The sequence below is a fragment of the Homo sapiens genome, chromosome 1 (genome assembly GCF_000001405.40).
Source record: "Homo sapiens chromosome 1, GRCh38.p14 Primary Assembly".
NCBI classification, from domain to species: Eukaryota; Metazoa; Chordata; class Mammalia; order Primates; family Hominidae; genus Homo; species Homo sapiens.
In genome coordinates, this window is record NC_000001.11 from 83,445,605 (window position 1) to 83,455,187 (window position 9,583).

General features: G+C 38.1%; 1 long non-coding RNA gene across 1 annotated transcript; it reads left to right on the forward strand.

Moving 5' to 3' along the window:
* The first annotated feature begins 449 nt into the window (after positions 1-449).
* LINC01712 (long intergenic non-protein coding RNA 1712) lies at positions 450-9,167 on the forward strand. The gene is made up of 2 exons (NR_146478.1): positions 450-1,070; positions 9,054-9,167. It is a non-coding gene; the product is annotated as a long intergenic non-protein coding RNA 1712 (long non-coding RNA).
* The last annotated feature ends 416 nt before the right edge of the window (positions 9,168-9,583 follow it).

Here is a 9,583-nt window from a genome sequence, read left to right on the forward strand (position 1 = left end):
GGATTTGTTAAGAAGAAAGGCCCTTTGAGAGCACCAGTCCCTCCACCAGCCAGTCTAGTCCTAAGAGCTCTGAAGGCCAACCTTGGAGGTGGTTCAGGAGGGAAAATGCAGGACCCAGGATTTCAGTTGCCAAGCCAGAGAGCAGGGGACCCAGGAAAGAATATTGGCATTCATTTGATTTTTCCATCTTCTGATATAACCTTCAAATGTTAATAGTGTGTCGAAGAATTTATTGGAAATGAGAAACAAGAAAACAGTGAGTCTAACCTAGTCATTCTAGAATTGGGAGGTAATAGAAAAGAGAGAAATGGGAAAGTTGCTCAAATGCAAGTCCAGTGAATCAGAGAGAAAAGGCTCAAAGCAGCAGAACAAAGCTTCAATAAAGAGATATTGTGACTTGGAGAGATGGCCTTTTGTCCTTTGTTCTATTACCAGTCAGAGGATGGGGAGCACACCCGAGCCTGAGACAACAGCTCTGCTAAGTGCCCTTGAGAGGGCACGGTGGGGTCAGCACCAAAGTCAGACCACTAAAGAGAAAAAGAGAGAAAGACAGGATTGCAGAGGAGAAATGAGAATGGCAGAAAAAATAATTTTTTAAGCCAAAAGGAATCAGAGAAGAGCAGAAGTGCCTCTAGGATAAAGCGTAGCAGGCAGTTAGGGAAAAAGGGCTGTTAACTACCTTGAAGCTCTGACTACATTAGAAAGCCTCGCAAGACAGTCGTTGCTTGCACGGGCAGGTAGAGAACTTTTCCTGTCCATTGTTCTTCTGAATTATAAATCACTGACCTCTTTATGATTTCTAAAGGGAAAATGACTTCAAGCTTCTTAGAGTTCCCCTAAGGCATTCTCTATATTCAATATAATATGGGAAGCCCTGGGTTTGTCTTTGTATGTTTCATCTGCAGTGACCTGAAATCTTCATAACCCTCTTCCTTTCTCCACTTATCAACTAAGGGGTGGTTGGCAATAAGGATGGGTGGGAGAGAAAAAAAAACAGAATTTGAGGAGGAGAGCATTTAAACCATCAGACTGTGTGTTCTGTGACATCAAAGACTGGCAACATTCTAAAGGTAAATGTAACTATGCATCCCTTTGGGATTTTCAGATATCTTGTACAATCTATTTTATTCCTCTAAACATGGAGACTATAAAGCTGTGTGGAAATCAATAGTTTAATTCATTCATTCAACAAACAGGTGGTGAGTGCTCATCATAACAACCACATCATAATAGCTAACATGTTGAATGATTATCACACATCAACTACTATGCTAAGTGCTTTGCATGGTTTATGTCATTTAAGTATCACAAATAATACTATGAGATAGGTGCTCTTGTTATGTCCATTTGACAGATGAAGAAACTGAAGCCCAAGTCCCAGCCCTAAGATGAGGCAGAGCTATGTTAGAATTCAGGTAATATCACTCAGGAGGCCATGTATTAAACCTCTTTATAACGTATCCCTGTATCATATCTGCATTAGGCATAGAAGATTCAAGGGTTATAGGGTTTCAGAGAAGGGAAGGGCTGAAGGGAGTTAATTAGGACAGGCTTTAGGCAAAAGGTGATACATGACGTTAGCTTTGAAGAAGAGGCAGATTTGAGTCAGTAGAGCGTGAAATCAAAGGCTCCCAGGTAAGGAATGGGAAAGCATGTGAGTGTAGTCCAACGTCAACATAAGACAAAAGGCATTGTAATAATGAGGGGACAATTTCGACCAGAATGGTGGCCCTATGAGCAGTAAAAGAAGTCCGAGAAGATTGAGTTAGCCATTGGAGAGAAGTGTCTGACATGTTGGTGTTGGAAAATAGAAAATCTTGGTGGTTTTCTTAGTCTAAGCAGTGTTGAAGATAACAGCAGTGGTACACAGGATGAACTACACCTAATAGAAAGCCTGGCACCCAAGGATTTCAGCTAGGGTTTGTAGAGAGATAGAATTATGTGTTCTAAAGGAAAAGTGATAGGACTTGTTCTCTGTGACATATTGAAATAAAGTATATGAACTGATTATACCAACAATAACTAACTTTATTGAGCATATACTGTGTCCTATAGTGGTTTACATGTAATCATAGATTAATTATCATAATAGCACCACGATTTAGAATTAAACGAAGGCCCGTTCTAATCCTAGGATTTCTTTCGTTATCTATTGAAGATAATGAAAACAGTAATTCTTTAAATAATGTTGTGTTATGGGGGTATTATGATACCATTGACAGGAGTGAAATAGTTTGGAAGTTTAGGAGCAGAAAAGGACAATTTTGACTGAAGGCAAGGAAACCAATCAGGGGCAGTGTAACTCATTAGGTCATAATAATAACTATTGTTATTATTATTTATTTTGATTCGACTGTGAATCAAGATGTCCTGCAGATACCAAAATCAGTGGCTGCTCAAGTCCCTGATATAAAGTAGCCCGCCTTGACTACCCTTCTCTTTATAATTATAATTATTATTACAGCTAATTACTGCATGCTTATTATGTACCAATGTTCTAAACATTTCACATACCATAGCTCAGTTAAGATAGTAATAATTACAGTGTTCACTATTAAAATAATAAGAGTTTATATTTACAGTGCTGATAGTGTTCCAGGCACTGATATGTTTTTAAATAGATTAACTCATTTAATCATCACAAAACCCACATGAAGTAGATACTAATATTCTACCTTCACTTTACAGATGAGGACACTCTGGTCTAGAGAATTTAAGTAACTTAACCAAGATCACAAAACTAATGATTGGCAGTGTCAGGATTGAGCCCAGATTCTCTGGCTGTAGATTCTATTCTCTTAACAACTGCTCTACAAAATCATGAGCTTTGGGGTCAGGCAGGTCTGGGTTGCAATCCCAACCTTGTTAACTTACTACTAGTGAGAACTTCGGTATGCTCCTTTTTTGTGTCTAAGTCTCAGTTTTCCCATAAGCAAATTTCAAGATAAGATAACAATAGTACTTTTCATGCAATAATTCCTATGAGATTAAGCTCTCCTACCCTTCTCTGTACTTATCACATTGCTTCAAAACAGGAAGTCTTCGGTGTGTGTTTTACTAATGAATGAATAAATGAATAAAGCACTTATCATCCATGCTGCACAATTAACATTTTGTTGTATGCTACTTTATATTATTTAACTTTTCTCTGCATGTACACTTCTTGTCAATCCAGCTAGATTATATGCATCCTAGGACTAAACCACATGCTTTTTACTTTAATATGTACCCAGTTCTCTGAACAGTGATGTGCACATAGAAAGCTTCTCAATAACGATGACTCCCATGAATGAAGCATTTACTATGGCCTAGACATTGTGTTAAGTATTTAGTCTTCATAGCAACCCTAGATAGTAAGTACTAATGTTAATTCCAATTTACAGAATAGGAAACTATGCCTTAGTGAGCTAAAGTGATTTTCCAATGGCCACACCATTGGTCCATACAGAGTCAGATTAGATTGAGCTCTACTTATCTGCAGAAGTCCTGGGCTTGACCACCATGCTGTACTAGCTTGGTGTTAAAGCCCCGATTGATGGGTAATTTGACAAGAAGTCAGAGCCCATTATCACCTGCCTTTGGAAGGGAATTTCCTGCATCTGAAGCTCTTGTCTATTTGGCCCACTTGGCTCAACCACCTAGTTCACGGCTTTTCTGTAGATTTCTCCTCTTAGCACTCCCTCAACAGGCACAAACCACATATCCAAGTCAGGGATGCCATAAACAGTGGCTGCTGCTGTGGCTGGCCCACAGAGCATGGAAGCAGGAATACTCATGAGCCGCCTCTGTCATCTCAGTATATTATGGCTTCAGCATTCTCTTTGCTTAACAACCTCTGGCTGATCCACTGTGAAAATTGTGTGCAATAGTCTTCAAAATTTCTAATTTCATACCGGTGGTGAAGTAGCCTTGTGGCTGGTCAAAGAGAACACCTTTAAAGCTGACAGTGGAAAAAGCCTTGGCTCCTAACCTTCTGCAAAACTGTTTTTACTACTTCCTGCAAGCTGTTATTGGTGTCTTTATTTAGGCTGTATTTCTTCATTTCAGCGTCTATGTTTAGCAGTTATATAAAGGAGCGAAATGGGTTTAATGGCCTCAAGTGGCAAAGCAGTGACATGTGGTCCTTCTTGGAGCAACAAAAGGTCAAAAGACTGTGGAGGAGACTTCTTGTTTCCTGGTGACTAGGAGTCAAATTTTTTTTATCAGTCTGAGTCAAGGGGAAATGATGTTCCTTTGAAAGTCTCATCTTGTAGGTAGAGTGTAACAGAGTAGGGAGGTAGGGAAGGTTCCTTAAAGGGCCATGCAGATAATCTCATCTGTTGATTTGTCCTATTGTGGGTGACACAGACTCACATTCCCTTTCTGGAGAAGGGAGGGTTTTAATTAAAACTAAATAGATATCCACTGGGTCTGGGCATGTACATAATCTAGAAACTGTGGGCTTCTCAAGGCCTCTGCATTCAGCAACTCAAGAAGTCCTATGGGTACCAATTGATCCATCCTGGAATCACTCTCCTCTGCTTGCATGGGACTTGCCTTTCTGCCCTCCTTCCTTAGCACTCCCACCAGGCTAGGTATGAGCCCCGAGTAAGGAGCCCCGGTCTGATTCCAGCTTCTTTCTCTTATTGACTCTGTGATTTCAATAAGATACTTGACTTCACAAGTTCTATGTCTTCATCTGAAGACGGAGATTATAATGAAAATACAAACCTTATGGATTTATTGTGCAGAGTAAAAGGACAAAGTATACAAAATGCTTTGGATAATTGTTATCTAACATCAAAATTTAGGTTCACATACCTGATGCACAGTAAGCCAAACACTGACACATCAGCATAAATGTTTATTCAATTTGGCCAAAGTGAGAGGGCAGGAAAGACAGTCTCTAAAGTCTAACCTTCCTTTACACATAATTGGGGGCTTCTATGAGTCAGGTAGGTATACAGGAAATGGGATACCCCAAAGACCAAAGCTGTTTATGTCTCTTGGCCTGATCAAACTTCTGGATGCCATCAAGGTTTGTGTGACCTAAGATTCATTTTTCTTCTCCAAAAAAAATACAGTTTATCAATCTTGCAGGCCAGGGGTATAAGGATATGAAGTTACTAGTGACTACCTTCTACCAAAATGACTATGTGCAAGCAAGCACGCATGGAGGCAGAAAAAGGCAAGGAAAAGAGAAAACTAAGTAAAACAAACATCTTATGATTCTTATAATAAAGACTCAGTTACACAATAACATTGTGCACACTAAAATCCCAATGAATGGGTGCTGTTAGTATAGGCAGCTGGCATATTTTTCCCTAGACCAATCAGTCTTGTATTTCTGTTTCAAGGCAGCCTGCACAGATTCTCCGAAGCAATTCTCAGCTTATTCATAGTAGAATCAAAATAATCAGGTGAAAGAAAAATTTATTCATAAATTCTTAATCAAAGCTTCCGCCGTACCCACCCTGAAGCAGTATGAGCACTAAAACCATCCTATTTCTTTTTATTATACTTTAAGTTCTAGGGTACATGTGCACAACGTGCAGGTTTGTTACATATGTATACATGTGCCATGTTGGTGTGCTGCACCCATTAACTCGTCATTTACATTAGGTATATCTCCTAATGCTATCCCTCCCCCCTCCCCCCACCCCATGACAGGCCCCGGTGTGTGATGTTCCCCTTCCTGTGTCCAAGTGTTCTCATTGTTTAATTCTCACCTATAAGTGAGAACATGCGGTGTTTGGTTTTTTGTCCCTGTGATAGTTTGCTGAGAATGATGGTAAAACCATCTTATTTTTACCATCTATTAAATGGGACAAAAACTTCAATACTTCTACAGTTGTTGTATACAATTAAATAATCTTCTAAATCCGATTGTCCCTCCTTCTCTTCTTCTCCTTTGATAAACAACACACCTCTCTGCATAGAGCAACAGAACTTCCTTTTGATTCTGGCCCACAACTTCCTATGTACACCTCGTTTGTAAAGAAGCTTATCTAAAGTCAACCAGCAAATGATGGGCCCTCCAACTCTGATAGCCTGTCACCAGCCCTAAGCTGCCAGGCTTCCTTTGAGTCTCTGTCATTGGTGAGATATAGGGACGTGTGACCATTTTGCCATGGCTCTATGTTGCTGAACCAGGTGGGGGTGTGAGTGGCAGTGGGGCAAGTGGATCCTTTTGATCATTAGTTATTTTTGAGTATTGACTTTAATTTATAAAATTTCCCATCTTAATCTCTGCCCTAGTCTCTAAGCAGATCCCAGGTCATTGAGGAGAGTTCAGGTATGCCAGCATGTTTTGGTGTTTTTCCAATGCCAAAATAATATTTTGCCCCCTGAATTCACAAGTGTTTTAGATGGTCATCCAGTTTTTGTATTGACCCCTCCTAAAGAGGTAACAGTTATCCCTTGGTATCAATCAAGGCATGGTTCCAGGACCTCCCTTGGATACCAAAATCCATGGTTGCTCAAGTCCCCAACATAAAAAAGGTGTAGTATTTGCATATAACCTACAAACCTGTGTGTATATTTGCATATAACCTGTATGTAGGTTCTCCCCTTTCCTTTAAAGCATCTCTAGATTACTTTTAATACCTAATACAATGTAATTTCCATGTAAATATCTGTTACACTGTATTGTTTATGGAATAATGATAAGAAACAAGAAGTCTATACATGTTCATATAGATGCGAAATTTTTGAATATTTTCAAGCCATGGTTGTTTGAACCTGTCATGTGGAACCAAGGGATACAGAGGGCTGACTATATTTAAAAAAATGAAAGAATATTCTTTGACCACAGCAGGGGGCTACTGGCATTTGGGGATGGGGACAAAAATGTTAAATACTTTGCAATAAGAACATTAACACACAGTGAAAATTGTCATGTCAATGCTCCCTTCGTTGGGAAAACTGCAATTAGTTATACCTTTTCTCTCTCCTATTAGAGAAATCAACCAAGCCAAGCCTGAGTATCTCAGAATCAGCATCCTTCAAACTCAAATTTGAGTCTTGACTGCTCAACATCTATAAGCGTTAAGCACTTACTTTGTCATTCAATACTCATTTAATCTCCTAAAAGAATTGCAAGCTTCTTATTATTGCCCCTACTAGTGGAAAAAATAAAGCCAGAGAAAGCAAAGATTCTAACACTGAGCCCAGCACAAGTCTACCACCTTATGCTGTTTCTATGACATTAACTTTATAGCATGATCTGGATTGCTAAAAATGTTCAAGTTTGGGTCTTATAACAATAGAAAGAGAACTATATAAAACTACAGTAAGACTAAAAGTAACTAAAACATATTATAAAAATAAAAAACTGGAGTACCTCGATTATATACAAAAGCGCCTTTGAAAAATGTCTAGGTGAATTTTTGTCTATGTACCTATGTTGACATCACAAAATAACAACTTTCAATTCAAAACTCATTCCTTCTATATATTTTTCTCATATCTATTTTAATTAAAAGGCTTAACTTGAATATTAATCTTTCATGTCCTCCTTATCTATTTGACCCTCTGGAATACTGCTGAGTAATGTGGCATTCACAAGAATATTACTGTGTCCACTTATGTGATTTAAAATGTATTCTCAATAGCCGAAGTGTCCTCCTGACTCTTTGAAATTCAGCCATCCTGTGTTTCAGATGGCCTTTCACTTGGGCTTTTAAACCACTTTACAGACATCTCTTTATTCTCCTTTATTTTATAAATTGGGAAATAGATCAAATAGAAGTTAAGTGGCATACAGAGGTCAATGGCAGATTACTGGAAGACCCAGGGAAAGGTATCACCCTTGACTCACCTAGAGTTATCCCTCAGATAATTTAACATTTCTTCAGAAGACTGAGGTAGCCTCTGAATGTAGGAGGCAGACTAAAAGATTATTTTTTTTCATGAGGCTGCCTCAAGCAGATTCACAATTAATTGTGATTCAACTGGCATCTCCTTTCTTGCTGCCACAAAATATCTATATTGAAATCAGGTTGACTGTTCATCTTTTCTTTCTGTTACATCTGCTAGGGATCAATAGAGATAAAAATATTTGGAGCTTTGTGTTCAATCTAAGTTCCTGCATGCAGTTGCTTGATATAATGATTTTGTAAGGAAGCAAGTAACCAAAGTATTTTTGCAGTGTTTTTGATAAAGGACTGCTCTTTGCTGGTGTCCTCCTCTCCACTACTAATTGACAAAACATCTTGAGGAAAATATCCATATGTTTAAATTATCCTTAAAAGCTCTATTGGCATTAAAAAAAGACCTCCGTTTTGATAAAGATTCCGATAACTATTTGGCTTTTGCAAGTCCAGCTTTATGACTAGAAATTTCTAGATCAAGAGTCTGCAAACGATGGTCTAGAACCAAATCCAACTGCTGTCTGTTTTTGTAAGTAAGGTTTTATTCAAATACAGTCTTGCTTGCTCATTTAAATATTGTCTAGGCTGCTTTCATGCTACAATGGCATAGTCGAATAGCTGGGATAGAGACAATATGGCCCGCAAAGTCTAAAATATTTACAACTTCACTATTTACATAAAAATTTGTCAACAACTGTTCTACATTAAACAATATATCAGCCCTGGCAGATGTAACTGGTTACCTTGAGTATCTCATAGCATGTATGCAGTTTAATTTTCAAGTTCCCAAACAAAACTTTCCAAAAGCCATTTCTTAAGACCACACACTATAGAGTCAGATCCACCAAGTTTTGAATTATCTGAACAGAGCTTTGCAAATGTCAAACCAGTATAGTAGATGATGACGATTTTGCTGAAAGATCACTCCACTTTCATCAGGGGAAACAAGCTATTGGGAATATATTTGAGGACCTCAATTTTCCATACATTGCTCTAATTACTAGAGTGCTATAGATGCATATCTCTGATTTACAGTCCGCCAAGTCAAGATTTCTGAATTTCTTGGCATAAGTTTGGTAGTACAGTATTACTTTGATTATGGCTTCTTATATCTGGCATAAATATATTCCCTTTGTGCATATTCTTTTTAGATACAGTACAAAAAAAGTATGACTCTTCCTTTTTTCTCTCCTTTTACTTTAGGAAAAGCAGCTGTGAAGTCATAATTATGTTCACTTCCCACTGGCAACTGGCAAGCCCTTTATTTTTGTGCATTCGGAACTCACCAAGAATAAATAAAGTCCATTCCCTCCTTGAGGGGCTATTCTGCCATTCCATCTAGGATTTAAAAGTTTGCCAATTCCTAAAACATCTATTGTTATCAATAGTCTTGTGTCTTTCACAAAGCGGACTTTACAAAATAAGGTAAGGGGAAAAATGTCAAAAGCACATGAAAAAAATCATCTCTAAGAAAGAGCAACAAATCTGCTAGCTCTTAAGAACTTATAATTATCATTGCTGGTTAATTGGTATTATAGATTACCCAGTTCTGACATGTAATTTTCTAACACAAAGAGGTTTCTATCATGTTACATTGTGCTTTGCATTTAGGGACTTTTTATTTTATATTTACACACTAAAGAACTAAGGGCAGAAGTCTTGAAATATGCAAGGATTTAGATAATGAATTGCATCCTAAATTTAGAAAATATATCAGACAATACAGATGATTC